The following is a 19,268-nucleotide window of genomic DNA, read 5'->3' as shown; positions in this document are numbered from 1 at the left end:
GCCTGGGCGACAGGGCAAGACTCCATCTCAAAAAAAAAAGAAAATTTGTCTTTTTAGTACTTTTTTTTTCAATTTGTTATTTGTGTTTTGGTTTTACTTATAGTTTTTTTTTCTTTTCATGTAGGAATTTTTAACTTTTATTAAGTATACTTTATCAACCTTTTTTTCATGGTTTCTGAGTTTTATGTCATAGTTAGAAATTTTTTCCTTACTCTGAGTTTATGGAACAATTCTCTCATGGTTTCTCCTAGAGTTTCTGTTATTCTGTTTTCTCATTTAAATATTGAATGCATTTGAATATATATCCTGGCATAAAGCCTGCATTATAGATTCCATTTGACTGTTTCCTGAATGGCCACCCATTTGGCTCAGTGTCATTTGCTGGAAGATTCCATTGCCACACTGATGGGGCGTGCTCTCTCTACCTATGCTGGCTTCCTCTCTGCCCTCAGGCCGTTTGCTGGCATCCCTTGTTCACTCATCTTCTCTAGCATGGCCATCCATTTGGCTCAGCATCATATGCTGGAATTCGGTTGCCACAATGATGGGGTGTGCTGCCTCTACCAATGCTGGTTTCCTCTCTGCCCTCAGGTGATTTGCTGGCTTCCCTTGTCACTCATCTTCTCTAGTGTTATTCTTGCCATTTTTGCTTGTTCCTTTTTCCACATGAACTTTAGACTCACACTGACTAGTATAAAAATATCTTATTGGTATTTTTATTTAAATCATGTGTTGATGAAAAGAATCAAACTAAGTAAAATTTTTGAATAGATTTATTCTGAGCCAAATATGAGTGACCATGGTCTGAGGCACAGCTCCAGGAGGTCCTAAGAACTTGTGCCCAAGGTGGTCATGCTACAGCTTGGTTTTATACATTTTAGGGAGACGTAAGATATCAATCAATACATCTAAAATGTACATTGGTTCTGCGCAGAAAGGTGGGACAACTCAAAGATGGGGGTCAGGGAGGCTTTCAGGTCATAGGTAGATACAAAGATTTTCTGATTGGCAATTGGTTGAAAGAGTTAAGTTATTACCTAAAGACCTGGAATCAATAGAAGGGAGTGTCTGGGTGAAAATAAGTGGTGGTGAAGACCAAAGATTTTATCATGCAGACAAAGCCTCCAGGTAGCAGCCTTCAGAGAGAAGAGATTGTAAATGTTTCTTATCAGCCTTTAAAAGGTGCCAGACTCAGTTAATTCTGTCCTGGATCAGGAAAAGATCTGGAAAGGGAAGGGAATTCTCTACAGAACATAAATTTTTCCCTGAACTCCTGGCCTCAAGTGATCCTACAGCCTCAGCCTCCCAAAGTGTTGGGATTACAGGCATGAACCACTGCGCCCAGCCTGAACATTTCTTCATATGGAATTTACATGTTGCTTGTATGATATTTTATTTTTTGCACTATTTATTATAAAAGGGATATTTTTTCCCATTTTGTCCCCAAACTGGTTGTCATTGGTATATAGAAAAGCTGCTGCTATTTGCTGTTCATTTTGGGTCTCCTCTTTTCGTAGGACAATTTCAAAGTGTCAAATATATTTTGGGGTAAAATACTTTGATTTCTTTCAGGGCCTGCTATCTGTCATGTTGGTATCTTATTGCTACAAAAAGTCTGTTTTGTCATTCTTAAGGCCTCTGTTTAAATGTTAATGCTGGTCAGTTGTGCCTCAATTCCAATGGGAGGAGGGTATCGTGGGGCATGTCTGACCCTCCCTTCCCATTATGGCCTGAACTCATTTTTCAGGTTAACTTTGGAATGCCCTTGGCCAAAAGGAGGGGTCCATTCAGTAGGTTGGAGAGCTTAGAATTTTATTTTTCATTTACAAATGTTTAATATATAAATTAATTTATGTAGAGTCTTTATATTTACGAGTCTCCCACTGCATGAACTGCCCTGTTCCTGTCCATTTTTTCCGTGCATCTTTCTTTAAAAGTATTTTAAACATTTCTGTTTTTTCTTTTCTTTTCTGTTTTAATAGAGACAGGAGTCTCACTATATTGACCAGGCTGGTCTCGAACTCCTGGCCTCAAGTGTTCCTACAGCCTCAGCCTCCCAAAGTGTTGGGATTATAGGCATGAACCACTGCACCCGGCCTGAACATTTCTTTATGTAGAATTTACCTGTTTCTTGTATGATATTTTATTTTTTGCACTATTGTATTATAAAAGGGATATTTTTTCCCTTTTTTTTTCCATTTTGTCCCCAAACTGGTTGTCATTGGTATATAGAAAAGCTGCTGCTATTGGCTGTTGATTTTAGGTCCTCTTCTCTTTCACTGAATTCTCATGTTGTTTATAGTTATCTTGAAGTGTATTCTTCAGTGTTTTTCAGCTATGTAAACATATTAATTATGAATGGTGATTATCAACCTCTCATTTCCAATTTGACCTCTCCAGTTTCTTTCTCTTGTTTAATTACAATGGCTGATACTGCCAGAACAGTGTTAAATGAGATTGATGATGATGGGCATGTCGGTCTCAAGATCCTTCCAGTGTTTTTGAACTGCTTTTGTAGAATTATAAGTAATAAGAGTGATCTAGCATGACTGACTCCATCTTGCTTCTAACTTCACAGACTAAATATTTTTCTTGCTTACTGTAATGCAGAGGCCAAGATAACTATGAGAAGGATTAGGTTTATCATTATACTTGGAGGCAAAGGAAACTGGCACCCTCCATGTCTGAAGATTAAAGCCACATTCATAAGGCAAGGTTAAAATTATGATAGGGGTTAGGACTTTGCTAATGAGTAGGCATTAAACCATAACCTGCCATTGCTTAGTTTGTGTTTCTATAGGTTGTCTATTGCCCCAGAGTCACGTAACTGAGGGTTGCAAAATGTGTAACTTTCCCAACTACTCCTGTAAATAACATCACTATTGTGAAACCTAAAGATCTGATTTTGAGATATTTTTTGGATTTAACGTTTCAGTAGACCAAGAGACACCATCTAGTTCTAAGACTACCCCCTCACATCCCTGCCAAGGAACTAACTCAGCTGCACAAAGACAGTTTGGGATGCTCCTGTGATTTCATCCCAATTGTTCAGCCAATCATCTGTTCCAGTTTCCCAGAACCCTGCTGGGAAAGTACTTTTTAAAAAGTACTTTTACAAAACCCCAGCCTCCAAATTCTGGGGGAGACAGGTTTGAGAACTTTCTCCCTGTTCTCCTTGCTCAGCAGGCCTGTGATTATTACATTCTTTGTTGCAACTCCTGCTGGTCTCATTAGTCTTTTTTCAGGGCAGTGGGAAAGAAGAACCCATCAGGCTGCGACATTGTTCCATTAAACTTGATACTAGATTTTTGACATATATAATTTATCATGTAAAGGCAGTTTTCATCTTTTCCTCTCTTAATGAAGACTTAAAAAAAAAAGAGTTGTTGATTTTGTTAAATTCTCTCCAGCATCTGTGAAGCTGATTTTATAACTTTTTTCTTTGCTTCTTTAGAACTCCAAATCTCATGTGTTCTATTAGCCAATATCTTATTGACTCATTCTTGAATTCCTAGGGGTGAAAAACACTTGATTTTGGTGAATTACTTTTTGATTATGCTATTGCATTCAGTTTTCTAACATAGTATTCATGGTTCTTCCTCATAAATGGCGTTGGCTTCTAATCATTGATTTTATTTATTTATTTATTTTTATTATTTATTTATTTATTTATTTTTGCCAGAGTAGGCACAGATTTATTGAAGACAATTCACAGAGTGGGAGCAGGCTTGAGCAAGTGGCTGCTCAAGAGCCCCCTCAATTAGTGTTTTTTGTTTTTTTTAAAATTTATTTCCATAGGTTATTGGGGAACGGGTGGTGTTTGGTTACATGAGTAAGTTCTTCAGTGGTGATCTCTGAGATTTTGGTGCAACCATCACCTGAGCCATATACACTGCACCCTATTACTAGTCTTTTATCTCTCACCCACTTCCCACCCTTTCCCCCTGAGTCCCCAAAGTCCATTGTGTCATTCTTTTTTTTTTTTTTTTTAGTATTTATTGATCATTCTTGGGTGTTTCTCGGAGACGGGGATTTGGCAGGGTCATAGGACAATACTGGAGGGAAGGTCAGCAGATAAACATGTGAACAAAGGTCTCTGGTTTTCCTAGGCAGAGGGCCCCACCGCCTTCCGCAGTGTTTGTGTCCCTGGGTACTTGAGATTAGGGAGTGGTGACGACTCTTAACGAGTATGCTGCCTTCAAGCATCTGTTTAACAAAGCACACCTTGCACTGCCCTTAATCCATTTAACCCTTAGTGGACACAGCACATGTTTCAGAGAGCATGGGGTTGGGGGTAAGGTTATGGATTAACAGCATCCCAAGGCAGAAGAATTTTTCTTAGTACAGAACAAAATGGAGTCTCCTATGTCTACTTCTTTCTACACAGACAGAGTAACAATCTGATCTCTCTTTTCCCCACATTTCCCCCTTTTCTATTCGACAAAACCGCCATCGTCATCATGGCCCGTTCTCAATGAGCTGTTGCGTACACCTCCCAGACAGGGTGGCGGCCGGGCAGAGGGGCTCCCCACTTCCCAGATGGGGCGGCTGGCCGGGGTGGGGGCTGCCCCCCACCTCCCCAACGGGGCGGCTGGCCGGACGGGGCGGCTGCCGGGCGGAGACGCTCCTCACTTCCCAGACGGGGCAGCTGCCGGGCGGAGGGGCTCCTCACTTCTCAGACGGGGCGGCCGGTCAGAGACGCTGCTCACCTCCCAGACGGGGTGGCGGCGGGGTAGAGACGCTACTCAGTTCCCAGACGGGGTCGCGGCCTGGCAGAGGCGCTCTTCACATCTCAGACGGGGCGGCGGGGCAGAGGTGCTCCCCACATCCCAGACGATGGGCAGCCGGGCAGAGACGCTCCTCACTTCCTAGACGGGATGACGGCCGGGAAGAGGTGCTCCTCACTTCCCAGACTGGGTGGCGGGCAGAGGGGCTCCTCACATCCCAGACGATGGGCGGCCAGGCAGAGACGCTCCTCACTTCCTAGACGGGGTAGTGGCAGGGCAGAGGCTGCAATCTCGGCACTTTGGGAGGCCAAGGCAGGCGGCTCGGAGGTGGAGGTTGTAGCGAGCCGAGAGCACGCCACTGCACTCCAGCCTGGGCAACATTGAGCACTGAGTGAGCTAGACTCTGTCTGCAATCCCGGCACCTCGGGAGGCCGAGGCTGGTAGATCACTCGTGGTCAGGAGCTGGAGACCAGCCCGGCCAACACGGCAAAACCCCGTCTCCACCAAAAAATACGAAAACCAGTCAGGCGTGGCAGCACGTGCCTGCAATCCCAGGCACTGGGCAGGCTGAGGCAGGAGAATCAGGCAGGGAGGTTGCAGTGAGTGGAGATGGCAGCAGTACAGTCCAGCCTCGGCTTGGCATCAGAGGGAGACTGTGCAAAGGGGAGAGAGGGAGAGGGAGAGGGGGAAAGGGAAGGGGAGGGGGAGGGGAGAGGGGAGAGGGAGAGAGGAGTGTCATTCTTATGCCTTAGCATCCTCATAGCTTAGCTCTCACTTATAAGTGAGAACATACGATGTTTGGTTTTCCATTCCTAAGTTACTTCACTTTGAATAATAATCTCCAATCTCATCCAGGTTGCTGTGAATGCCATTAATTCACTCTTCTTATAGCTGAGTAGTATCTCATTATATATATATATATATCACAGTTTCTTTATCCACTCATTGATTGATGGGTATTTGGTTTGGGTTGGTTCCATGGTTTTACAATTGCAAATTGTGCTGCTACAAATATGCATGTGCAAGTATCTTTTTCGTATAATGACTTATTTTCCAATGGATCGATATCCAGTAGTGGGATTGCTGGATCAAATGGTAGTTCTACTTTTAGTTATTTAAGTAATCTCCATACTGTTTTCCATAGTGGTTTACATTCCCACCAGCAGTATAGAAGCGTTCCCTGTTCACTGCATCCACACCAACATCTACTATTTTTTTATTTTTTGATTATAGCCATTGTTGCAGGAGTAAAGTGGTATCGCATTGCAGTTTTGATTTGCATTTCCCTGATCATTAGTGATGTTGAGCATTTTCATATGTTTGCTGGCCATTTGTATATCTTTTTTTTTTTTTTTTTTTTGAGAATTGTCTATTCATGTCCTTAGGCCACTTTTTGATGGGATTGTTATTTGTTTGAATTCATTGTAGATACTGGATATTAGTCCTTTGTCAGATGTATAGATTGTGAAGATTTTTTTTCCCACTCTGTGGGTTGTCTGTTTAGTCTGCTGAATGTTTCTTTTGCCATGCAAAATCTCTTTAGTTTAATTAACTCCCAACTATTTATCTTTGTTGTTATTGCATTTGCTTTTGGGTTCTTGGTCATGAAATCCTTACCTAAGCCAATGTCTAGAAGGGTTTTTCCAATGTTATCTTCTAGAATTTTTACAGTTTCAGGTCTTAGATTTAAGTCCTTAATCCATCTTGAGTTGATTTTTGTATAAGGTGAGAGATGAGGATCCAGTTTCAGTCTCCTACATGTGGTTAGCCAATTATCCCAGCACCATTTGTTGAAAAGAGCGTCCATTCCCCACTTTATGTTTTTGTTTGCTTTGTTGCAGATCAGTTGGCTCTAAGTGTTTGGGTTTATTTCTGGGATCTCTATTCTGTTCCATTGGTCTGTGTGCTTATTTTTATACCAGTCCCATGCTGTTTTGGTGACTATGGCTTCATAATATAGTTTGAAGTCAGGTAATGTGATGCCTCCAGATTTGTTCTTTTTGCTTAGTCTTTCTTTGGATGTACAGCCTCTTTTTTGGTTCCATATGAATTTTAGAATTGTTTTTTCTAATTCTGTGAAGATGATGGTGGTGTTTTGATGGGTATTCCACTGAATTTGTAGATTGCTTTTGGCAGTATGGTCATTTTCACAATATTGATTCTACTCATCCATGAGCATGGGATGTGTTTCCATTTGTTTGTGTCATCCATGATTTTTTTTCAGCACTCTTTTATAGTTTTCCTTGTAAAGGCCTTTCACCTCCTTGGTTAGGTATATTCCTAAGTGGTTTTTTTTTTTTGTTTTTGTTTGTTTGTTTTGGTTTTTTTTGCAGCTGTTTTAAAAGGGGTTGAGTTCTTGATTTGATTCTCAGCTTGGTCTCTGTTGATGTATAGAAGACCTACTGATTGTGTACATTAGTTTTGTATCCAGAAACTTAGCTGCATTCTTTTATCAATTCTAGGAGCTTTTTGGATGAGTCTTTAGGGTTTTCTAGATATACGATCATATCATCAGAAAACAGTGACAGTTTGAATTCCTCTTTACTGATTTGGATGCCCTTTATTCCTTTCTCTTGATTGCTCTGGCTAGGACTTCCAGTACTATGTTGAAGAGGAGTGGTGACAGTGGGCATCCTTGTCTTGTTCGAGTTCTCAGAGGGAATGCTTTCAACTTTTTCCCATTCAGTATTATGTTGGCTGTGGGTCTGTCATAGTTGGCTTTTATTATATTGAGGTATGTCCCTTGTATGCCAGTTTTGCTCAGAGTTTTAATCATAAAGGGATGCTGGATTTTGTTGAATGCTTTTTCTGCATCTATTGAGATGATCATGTGATTTTTGTTTTTAATTCTGTTTATGTGATGTATCATATTTATTGACTTGAGTATGTTAAACCATACCTGCATCCCTCGTATGAAACCCACTTGATTATGGTGGATTATCTTTTTGATATGTTGGATTCGGTTAGCTAGTGTTTTAAGGATTCCAGCATCTATGTTCATTAGGGATATTGGTCTGTAGTTTTCTTTTTTGGTTATGTCCTTTCCTGGTTTTGGTATTAAGGTGATACTGGCTTCATAAAATGATTTAGGGAGGGTTTCCTCTTTCTCTGTCTTGTGGAATAGTGTCAATAGGATTGGTACCAATTCTTTAAATGTCTGGTGGAATTTTCCTGTGAATTCGTCTGGACCTGGACTTTTTTTGTTGTTAATTTTTAAATTAACATTTCAATCTCAGTGCTTATTATTGGTCTGTTCGTGGTATCTAATTCTTTCCTGACTTAAGCTAGGAGGGTTATATCTTTCCAGGAATTTATCCATCTCTTCTAGGTTTTCTAGTTTATGTGTGTAAAGGTGTTCATTAAGTAGCCTTGAATGATCTTTGGTATTTCTGCAGTGTCAGTTGTAATATCCCCTGTTTTGTTTCTTATTGAGCTTATTTGGATTTTCTGTCTTCTTTTTTTGGTTAATCTTGCTAATGGTCCATCAATTTTATTTATTTTTTCAAAGAACCAGCTTTTTGTTTTATTTATCTTTTGTATTTTTTGTTTGTTTGTTTCAATTTCATTTAGTTCTGCTCTGATCTTGGTTATTTCCTTTCTTCTGCTGCATTTGTGTTTGGTTTGTTCTTGTTTCTCTAGTTCCTTGAGGTGTGACCTTAGATTGTCTGTTTGTGCTCTTTCAGACTTTTTGATGTAGGCATTTAGGGCTATGAAATTTCCACTTAGCACCACCTTTGCTGTGTCCCAGAGGTTTTGATACGTTGTGTCACTATTGTGGTTCAGTTTGAAGAATTTTTAAATTTCCATCTTGATTTCATTTTTGACCCAGTGATCACTCAGGAGCAGGTTATTTAATTTCTATGTATTTGCATGGTTTTGAATGTTCCTTTTGGAGTTGATTTCCAGTTTTATTCCACTGTGGTCTGAGAGAGTGCTTGATACAATTTTGATTTTCTTAAATTTATTGAGGCTTGTTTTGTGGCCTATCATATGGTCTATCTTGGAGAAAGTTCTATACACTATTGAATAGAATGTATATTCTGCGTATGTTGGATGGAATGTTCTGTACATATCTGTTAAGTCCATTTGTTCCAGGGTATAGTTTAAATCCATTGTTTTTTTTTTTGTTGTTGACTTTCTGTCTTGATGACCTGTCTAGTGCTGTCAGTGGAGTATTGAAGTCCCCCACTATTATTGTGTTGCTGTCTATCTCATTTCTTAGGTCTGTTAGTAATTGTTTTACAAATTTGGGAGCTCCAGTGTTAGGTGCATATATGTTTAGGATTGTGATATTTTCCTGTTGGACAAGGCCTTTTATCATTATATAATGTGCTTCTTTTATCATTATATAATGTTCTTCTTTGTCTCTTTTAACTGCTGTTGCTTTAAAGTTTGTTTTGTTTGATATGAGAATAGCTACTCCTGCTTGCTTTTGGTGTTTGTTCACATGAAATGTCTTTTTCTACCACTTTACCTTAAGTCTGTGCGAGTCCTTATGTGTTAGGTGAGTCTCCTGAAGGCAGCAGATCGTTGGTTGGTGAATTCTTATCCATTCTGCTATTCTGTATCCTTTAAGTGGAGCATTTAGGTCATTTACATTCAACGTTAGTATCGAGATGTGAGGTACCATTCCATTCATCATGCTATTTGTTGCCTGTATACTTTAGTTATTGGTTTTGGGTTTTTTTAATTGTAGTTTTGTTTTATAGGTCCTGTGAGATTTATGCTTTAAAGAGGTTCTATTTTGATGTGTTTCCAGGATTTGTTTCAAGATTTGGAGCTCCTTTTAGCAGTTCTTGTAGTGGTAGCTTGGTAGTGGTGAATTCTGTCAGCATTTGTCTGAAAAAGACTGTATCTTTTCTTCATGTATGAAGCTTAGTTTTGCTAGATACAAAATTCTTGTCTGATAATTGTTTTGTTTGAAGAGACTGACCAAACCCTTCCGGCTTATAGGGTTTCTGCTGAGAAATCTGCTGCTAATCTGATACGTTTTCCTTTATAGGTTACCTGGTGCTTTTGTCTCACAGCTCTTAAGATTCTTTCCTTCATCTTAACTTTAGATAACTCAATGACAATGTGCCTAGGCAATGATCTTTTTGTGATGAATTTCCCAGCTATTCTTTGTGCTTCTTGTATTTGGATGTCTGGGTCTCTAGCAAGGCTGGGGAAGTTTATTCCCCTCAATCATTCCCCCACATATGTTTTCCAAACTTTTAGATTTCTCTTCTTCCTCAGGAACACTGATTATTCTTAGGTTTGGTCATTTAACATAATCCCAGACTTCTTGGAGGCTTTGTTCTTACTTTCTTATTCTTTTTTCTTTGTCTTTGTTGGATTGGGTTAATTCAAAGACCTTGTCTTTGAGCTCTGAATTTCTTTCTTTTACTTGCTCAATTCTATTGCTGAGACTTTTCAGAGCATTTTGCATTTCTATAAGTGTGTCCATTGTTTCCTGAAGTTTTGATTGTTTTTTATTTATGCTATCTGTTTCCTTGAGTATTTCTCCTTCACTTCTTGTATCATTTTTTGGATTTCCTTACACTGGGCTTTGCCTTTCTCTGGTGCCTCCCTAATTAGCTTAATAACTAACCTCCTATTCTTTTTAAGGTAAACTGGGGATTTCTTCTTGATTTGGGCTCCTTGCTGGTGAGCTAGTGTGATTTTTTTGGAGGTGTTAAAGAACCTTGTTTTGTCATATTACCAGAGTTGGTTTTCTGGTTCCTTCTCATTTGGGTAGGCTCTGTCAGATGGAAGGTCTAGGGCTGAAGGCTGTTGTTCAGATTCTTTTGTCCTGTGGGTGTTCCCTTGATGTAGTACTCATCCCCTTTTCCTATGGATGTGGCTTCCTGAGAGCTGAGCTGTAGTGATTGTTATCTCTCTTCTGGATCTAGCCACCCAGCGAGTCTACCAGATTCCAGGCTGGTACTGGGGGTTGTCTGCACAGAGTACTGTGATGTGAACCATTTGTGAGTCTCTCAGCCAAGTATACCAGCACAGTATTTGGGGTGTCTCCTGGGTCCTGCAGGAGCAATCCACTTACTTCAGGGAGTCTGTGGGTCCTCTCAGCTTTCCTGATTTATTCCTGCAGTTGTTCTGGAGCAAAAATTGACTATGCGAGCCTCCACACACTGCTCTGTCCATCCAAGTTGGAGCTGCAATCTAGTCCTGCCTCCCATTCACTGTGATCCCCCATTTATTTATTTATTTATAAAAAGTGGACTAAGGCACCTAAATCTTAGAACCCAAGTTCCACTTAATGAATAGGTCAACTCTAGAAAGAACTCAGAAGGTAACAGCAAGACCTATGATTCTAAATGCCAAAATCCTTAAAGGCATTTGCAAATGCAGTTGAAAAATAGTCCAATTTTCCAGTTGCCTCATTATAGCTTTTCTCCTCGATGACAGGTAGGTAGATAGGTACTGGATCACCTTCAAATGGCTGGTGCAGAACAATTTCTAGTCATTGATTTTTGTGCAGTAGTTTTGGTCTTTGATATCAGTGCTGTGTGAAAGTTTTCTTTGTCTTTTATTTGTCCTGAAACAGTTTGAATAGCATCGGAAATATATATTCTATTTTGGAGAATTTCCTTTTTAACACTCTGGGACTGGTACTTTCTTCTTACTGCCGTTGGAGTAGCTCAGTGATACCTTCTTCTATTTCTTCTATGGAAATTCATCTGTTAAGAATTTTAATTTCTCCACTAGTTAGTTCTTTCAAGTTATTTTTTCTTTTATAATTATCTATTTAATCTAGGTTTTAACATTTTTTTGCATAGAGATGAGCAAAATAGGCTCTTATAGTTCTTTTATTTTAATTGGCATCTGTATTTTCTTCTATCATTTTTATTTCGTTGTATTTCTTTTTCCTTCCTTAATTGGTTGGGTAAATTTTCATTAGTTTATTTAAAGAACTAGCTTTCAGATTTTGTTTATTCCACATTTTCCCCTAGTTTATTAATTTCCACTTTTATCTTTATTTTCTTCTTTTTGCTTTTATAGGTATTTTTTTTCATCTTTTACATTTTCAGTTGGATATGTCCACCTACAAAGAAGCAGAGACACAAAATACAACTTTAAATGTTTACTTGTGCCAAAGTGAAAACAGCTGCCTGGAAGACTCAGACCCCAGTAACCTTGGATATGAGCTTATTTCTGCCTTTGTCACCAGTATGTTTTTAAAAGCAAAAAGAGGCCACAAGGAGTGGGCTGATATAAAGCTGTTTGTCAGGAATTTTCATTGGTTTACACAGATGACATTGATTAGTGATTGGCTATACACTCTATGGGCTACGGTGTCCTGTGTGTGGCATTGTTAGGTTAATTTATAGCCACTCATGGGATAGCTAGCAGTTTTAAGACAGGATTCCTTAGCCCAAGGAGGGAAGTGGTCTGTGACTGCTGTCTCATTCCCACGCGCCTCTGGGGACTGATCATTTAGAGGAGGTTTGCATTCCTCAGATAAAAGCTCCTTTTCTTTCTCAGATGCTAAATTAGTTATTATTTACATTTAAAATTTTCACATGTCATGTGGCCTCTTTTGTGAACTGCTTTCGTTATTAATTTCTAGTTTTAATGTAGCATGATAAGCAAATCTTTTCTCTGCTGTTTTAACTTTAAGTCCTGATGTTGTCTTTATGGCTTAAAATGTGGTCAGTGTTAGGAGCAGCATGGCTGCTCAGGAGGTTACAGGGAGTTGCAGCCCTGTGTCCCTCCTGTATGGTGAGTGTGGGCTGGCTCCAGGTATCTGCTATCTGCTGAGCCCCTTTGCTCACCCTTTTCCGTGGTCCTCATAACCACACCCCACCCACCAGTGGGAAAGGCTGATGAGGGAGAGGGGATGTTGGGGGGGAGAAAAGAGAGAGAGAAAGAGAGGGAGGAAGGGGAGAGAAAGGAAAACAGATGGAGAGGGAGGGAGAGAGAGAGGCAAACATTGGGTAAGATGAGGTTGAGGATCAGGATTCTGGGTGATCCTCCCACAGGGTTGGCCCTCTGTCCTGAGTAGGAAAACATAACCCTGTTTTACCCTTTTCACTGGAAATCCCAATTCCTTGAACAACCCAGGTGGCCCAAGCCTCTTCCTTTGTGTCTTCTGCCCTGCCTTGCCTATGAAGACCCCTGCAGCATGGGCACTCCCACCTCATCACACAGCCTCTCACAATTTTGGAGATTATTTCATTTGCCACCTTTTGGAATCACTGTCCTAGATGTTTCTCTACAATGGACTTGGCTTTGCTGTGTGAATCATTCTGATCATTCTTATTTGAGATATGTGAGTTTAGTGATTTTTGTCTTTATTGAAATGACAGATGTTTGTCATATTTTACATTATGGGCTCTGTGTGCATTTTAAAATACATTTCATTAAATAGTCTTTTCTTTCTTTTGTATGTTCATCTGAGTTAGCCTTCTGATACTTGAAAGGTTTGTGCCTTGTTTTAGTTGACCTCTTTTATTTATAAAATGTCCTTATCCCTCTGTTTCTTTAGCGTATCCATTCATCAGCTACTATGAGCAATGATGAAATTAGAATATTTCCCATCTTCCTCTTCCCTTCTCTCTTCTTTATCACCAATTTTACTCATTTTTTTCTCATATATGCTTTCACCTTTCTTAATTGCTTTGTTAAATCTTCATGTCTTTTGATTTCCAGCAATTACTAATGAGGCAATCTGCATTATTCCACAGCTCCTACCTCTTCTCTTCCCCAGCCCAAATTTCGTTTACTGTATGATTTCTACATTGTCAGAACATGAAATGTTTACCTTTTTTTCTGCTACTTATGTATTAGTTTGTTCTTGCATTGCTATAAAGAAATACCTGACACTGGATAATTTATAAAGAAAAGAGATTTAATTGGCTCACAGTTCTGCAGACTGTATAGGAAACATTGATGTGGGCATCTGCTCAGCTTCCGGGGAAGCCTCAGGAAACTTACAATCATGGCAGAAAGCGAACAGGGAACACACACGTTACATAGCCGGAGTAGGAGCAAGAGGGGGGGAGGTGCCACACACTTTTAAAAGACCAGATCTCATGAGAACTCACTATCATGAGGACAGTACCAAGTGGCAGGGATTGGGGGTGACACTAAACCATTCATGAGAAATCTGCCACCATCATCCAATCACCACCCACCTCCTCACCGCCAGTGCTGAAGGCCCAACCTTCAATACTGGGGAATGCAATTCGACATGAGATTTGGTGGGGGCACAGATCCAAATCATATCAACCTGCTTTCCCACATTAGTCTTAGTTCCGGTTCTAGAGCTAATATATTCGGTCCTCACTCAGCTTTTTTTTGGCATGGTGTTCCTGTTTGGTTGTCTGAAGTTTGTCCTCTAGTAGATTTTTTTTAGGAAAATTCATGCAATAAGCTTCCTCTAAGTTCCCATATTCAAAACTGTTGCTGCCATTATGTTGGAACGACAGTGTGCTGGCTCTGGACTCCTTGGACACATGTTCTTTTCCTGGGGAATCTGGTTGTCTTTCCATTCTGTTCTCTCCTGTAACCATGGTTCTCCAAGTTTGGCCCAGCAGCATCATGACCACCTGAGACTGGCTTAGAATACAGACTCTCAGGCCCACTGCAGACCTACTGAATCAGAAATTCAGCTGGTGGCCCTGACACTCTGTCTGAAGAAGCCTCCCTGAAATTCTCCATTCTGTCTTTCTTACCTTGTGGTGATTCCAAAGTCAGCCTTCTTTTTTCCCCGTCATTGATTAATGTTTTTCTGTGATTGTCATGAGAATTATTTCTTTTCTTTTTTTTTTTTTTTTTTTTTTTGAGACACAGTCTCACTCTGTTGCCCAGGCTGGAGTACAGTGGCATGATCTCGGCTCACTGCAACCTCCATCTCCTGGGTTCAAGTGATTCTCATGCCTCAGCCTCCCAGGTAGCTAGGATTACAGGCATACACCACCACGCCTGGCTGATTTTTGTATTTTTAGTAGAGATGGCATTTCACCATGAAGGCCAGGCCAGGCTCAAACTCCTGACCTCAAGCGATCCACCCGCCTCAGCCTCCCAAAGTGCTAGGATCACAGGTCTGAGCCACCGTGCCCAGCCGGTAGTTATTTCTTTATTTGCAACTCCAGCAGCTTTGCCAGCACGTGTCTAAGTGCTGGCCACTCTGGGTCACCTTTCTCCAGCACATGGTGTACCTTTTCAATGTGTCCTTTGTTTCAGGAAAGATTTCTTGAATTAGATCTTTACATTGTTTCTATTCCAATATGTCAGCTTTCTTTTTGGGAGACTGGCATACATCTATTAGTTCTCTTTTGTCTTTTCAAATCTTTTTTGTTTTTCCTTTTTCATCTGATCCGCTTTCCTCATATTTTCCTCTGCATCCCTTCTTTTGTGTTCTACACTTTCCATTCTCCATTATACTCTAAAATGTTGACTTTGTTTCCTTCCAAGACCAGATGCTCTCTGGTCTTCCATCTCAGAAGATAACGATTCCTCAAGTTGTTCAGTCCTGTTCTTGTGGACAGTGTTTTTCTGATAAATTATCTTAATCTATTATGAGTATTTCCTGAATTTTCCCTCTTGACTCTTATAGTATCTTGTACATGCTGAATGGTCTTTTCTCCCTCCTTTTCTCCCTTTATCCTTCCCTCCCTTCTTCTTTCCTGCCTTCCTTCCTTTCTTCCTTCCTTTCTTTTTTTTTTTTTCTTCACAGCATTACTCATAATTTAAAGAGTTGCATTTTTTTCTGAACTAACTGCTGGTGGAGTGTGTGTGTGTGTGTTGCGTACACACATGTATGCGTGTTGATGATATTCACAGCCACTGAGCCCTTTGGCAACTGAGTTCTCACTTTAGGACGTTTTCTGTTTTCTTCCTTCAATACGGTTCCTGCTCATGCATGCTTGATATTTGCCGCTTTTAGCAGTTTTTGCGTCTATTTTGTATTCTGAACATGCTAGCTACCTCCTAGTTTCACTAAACAAAGAGAGAAAAAGTTTTTATTTTTATTCACTGTTTTCCTTTTTGTTTTTGGATTAACTCCTAGAAGATTAAGTAGAAGGCTAAGTATATCTCTATTTCACATCAGGACTTGCTCTATTATAATAATTTTAAGCATCTGCAACTTTGATACATATTCATTGGTTTCTTTTGTTGTTTTATGAATAAAGTAAGGAATTGGTATTTGTATTAGGCCATTCTCCAATTGCTATAAAGAAATACTTCAAACTAGGTAACTTATAAAGAAAAGAAGCTTAATTGGCTCACGGTTCTGCAGGTTTTACAGTAAGCACGGGTGCCGACATTTGCTTAGCTTCTGGGGAGGCTTCAGGAAGTTTACAATCATGGTAGAAGGCTACAGGGCAGCAGGCACAGCACACAGTAAAAGCAGAAATGAGAGAGAGTGAGATGCCACACACTTTTAAATAGCCAGATTTCAAGAGAAGTCACTCACTATCGCAAGGACACCACCAAAGGATGGTACTAAACCATTCATGAGGAATCCACTCCCATCATCCAGTCACCTCCCGCCAAGCTCTACCTCCAACTTTGGGTATTACAATTCGACACATTAGATTAGGGAGAGGTAAACATCCGAACTATATCAGTATTACATCTTTTATCAGGGGTTAAGTCTAAAGTCAACTTGAGGCTAGGTGCAGTGGTTCATGCCTGTAATCCCAGCACTTTGGGAGGCTGAGGTGGATCACCTGAGGTCAGGAGTTCGAGACCAGCTTGGCCAACATGGTGAAATCCTGTCTCTACTAAAAATACACACACACACACACACACACACACACACACACAAAATCAGCTGGGCGTGGTGGCGGACACCTGTAATCCGAGCTACTTGGGAGGGTGAGGCAGGAGAATCGCTTGAATCCAGGAGGAGAGGTTGCAGTGAGCTGAGATCATGCCACTGCACTCTAGCCTGGGCGACAGAGTGAGACTCTATCTTAAAAAAAAAAAAAGTCAACTTGAAAGTAAGATATGCCTGGCCGGGCGCGTTGGCTCACGCCTGTAATCCCACCACTTTGGGAGGCCAAGGAGAGTGGATCATGAGGTTGGGAGATCGAGACCATCCTGGCTAACACGGTGAAACCCTGTCTCTACTAAAAATACAAAAACAAAATTAGCCAGGCATGGTGGCGGGCACCTGTAGTCCCAGCTACTCAGGAGGCTGAGGCAGGAGAATGGCGTGAACCTGGGAGGCAGAGCTTGCAGTAAGCCAAGATCATGCCACTGCACTTTAGCCTGGGCGACAGAGCAAGACTCTGTCTCAAAAAAAAAAAAAAAAAGAAAGTAAGATATGCCTAAGATTTGGTCACAAAGATTTCCAATGCCAAATTCCTCTGAGTCCGTGGAGTGTATTCTTAACTATTATATAAACTGCCTTTTCTAACTTGTGGTCGTGAAATCTGCCTTTTGACATGAAACAACACGTAGCACACTCTTAGTTAAGTTCTGGTTCCTGTGCATGGGATGACCTGCATGGCTATCTATTTCACTTTCTACTTGTCATTAAAATTCCTGTGCAAAATTATTTTGGACACAGTTAAGAGGAGCAGTATTGTAAGAAAATTGCAATAGAGTTATGAATGTTGTCTCAACATTTGAGATATAGCTTCCAAGATGAGAATACAATTTGGGAAAGTGTACCTATTTCTTCTACATGTTAATCTGAGTTGTGCTTAGAGTACGATGCCCTTCTCTCTGGCCTCTGCTTATCACAGTATTCCCAAATCCTCCTGCATGCTACCATGTTCACTATTCTTCCCCAGAGATAGACTTTTACTCTTTAAGATCATTCCCTTTTTTCTTCTTATTATGCTGCTAGTAGATCCACATATTATTCCATATAATTTGGATGCAGCAAGTGAAGAGAGAAATGACTATCTTAATTCCTAAGAAAGCATTGCATACTCTAGGCCTATAGCACATTGTTTAACCTTTTGAGCTTCAGTATTCCATTCTGTAAACTTGATTGGTCCTTTGATAAACATTTATTATGTATGTACTAAGTGTTCTGTGATGAGGTTTGAGGACAAGAAAGACAGAGAATGTAGTGAGTCTGAGAGGGAAACCTGGCCCACGTTCTGTAGTCAGATGCCAGGTGAAGCCAGTGATTCTGCCTGGGTCATTCAAAGAGGCTCATGGTAGGTGCGAGTTGGCCAGATGGAGGCACAAAGAAGGATGTTGTAAACTGAGATAAGCCTGCACAGGGGCATATTTGTGATGGAGACCGGCCGTCTGAGCAGTGGAGCCTGGTTTTGTGTGGCTGATGCATCAGTTGTGGGCCTGGTGGAGTCAAGGATGAGTGATGGGAACCAGCTCAGCTGAGAGGGAAGGGCTCAGGTACAGATTTGCTCCTGTGACACATGAGGAATCACTTAACATTATCAAGCTGGGGAATGACACAATCAAATGTACAGTTTAAGAATATTGTGTAGGGAGTTGAGGTTAGAGAATTGCTAATGTCTTTCCAGTTCAGTGGAATTGTATTGACAGTCTATTGCTGTGTTAACAAGCCACCCTAAACTTAGTGCCTTAAAACATAACCTTTTATTCAGCTCCCAGTTCTGCTGGGAGTTCTTCAGGTCTGAGCTGGTCTTAGAGGGGCTCACTCACAGATCTGCAGCCAGTCTCCTGGAGGAGACTGACCCTTGGCTGGGGCCATGGGGAGACTCAGTCATGTGTATCTCATCCTTCAGCAGACTAGGCCAGGCTATTCACATGGAAATGACATGGTCCCAATGACAATGACAGAGGTCCCAAGACAAGAAAGAGAGGGCAAGCCCCAGTGTGCAAGCACTTTGAAAATCCACTGGCCATATGATTAGCACTGATTCGAGGGGTGAAGCAATAGTCTTCTCCACTTAATGAGAGGAGCCACAGAGTCATATTATAGTTGTATTGTAAGTGTGTGAAAAACGGATAAGGGTTTGGGACCATTTTTGTCATCCATCATCATAGTTATTTGATATATTCCCATTTGGCTGTTTAAGTATTATTTGTCTAGCTGTGGGATAACTAATATCTATTTTCTTCCTTATGAATATTTCCTACTGCAGAGGATTGGCAACGTAATTCACAAGGCCCAGTGGAAAATGAAAATGCAGGACTCCTTGCTAAAAATAATTATGAAGAATTTCAAGATAGCAGAGCATTAAATCACTCACATAGCTCCATTGCGTGAGGGGCTCTGTGCAACTGTATGGGTCACATGCCCATGAAATGGCCCTGCTGCTACAAGAGACAAGAAAGATCACCTCTCCTGTATCAGTTCCCATATTAATCACCCCATTTTGACCATTCTACAAATGTTAACTGTTATGCTTGTTATTAAAAATTCATCAAGTGTCCGTTCATTCTTATTTTTCCAGAAGGAGTCTATATGCTCAAGGCTGTTATTTATAACGAGTTTCATGGAACCGAAGTGGAGCTTGGGCCTTATTATGTGGAGATTGGCCATGAGGCCGTGTCTGCGTTCATGAACTCCAGCAGTGTCCATGAAGATGAAGTGCTTGTCTTTGCTGACTCCCAAGTGAATCAGAAAAGTAAGACGTATGTCTGGAG

At 40.7% G+C, this 19,268-nt stretch overlaps 1 protein-coding gene across 2 annotated transcripts in view, besides 1 other annotated feature; it reads left to right on the top strand.

Moving 5' to 3' along the window:
- PKD1L1 (polycystin 1 like 1, transient receptor potential channel interacting) overlaps positions 1-19,268 on the top strand; it is a 186,293-nt gene that overhangs the window by 33,581 nt on the left and 133,444 nt on the right. For both annotated transcript variants that reach the window (XM_017011798.3, NM_138295.5), the window contains 2 exons: positions 11,727-11,894; positions 19,076-19,249. In XM_017011798.3, the coding sequence (XP_016867287.1) occupies positions 11,727-11,894; positions 19,076-19,249 (342 nt within the window). The remainder of the gene's footprint in view (positions 1-11,726; positions 11,895-19,075; positions 19,250-19,268) is intronic.
- Positions 11,795-12,296: an enhancer, noted in NCBI's record as "NANOG hESC enhancer chr7:47954627-47955128 (GRCh37/hg19 assembly coordinates)". NCBI's record gives its function as "activates a minimal SCP1, AML or CMV promoter by ChIP-STARR-seq in naive H9 embryonic stem cells {active_cell/tissue: H9 hESC(naive)}" and the evidence as "EXISTENCE:reporter gene assay evidence [ECO:0000049][PMID:30033119]".

The sequence above is a fragment of the Homo sapiens genome, chromosome 7 (genome assembly GCF_000001405.40).
Source record: "Homo sapiens chromosome 7, GRCh38.p14 Primary Assembly".
Classification (NCBI taxonomy): domain Eukaryota; kingdom Metazoa; phylum Chordata; class Mammalia; order Primates; family Hominidae; genus Homo; species Homo sapiens.
Note: the sequence above shows the minus strand (reverse complement) of the source record. Positions and strands in the feature narration are given on the sequence as shown.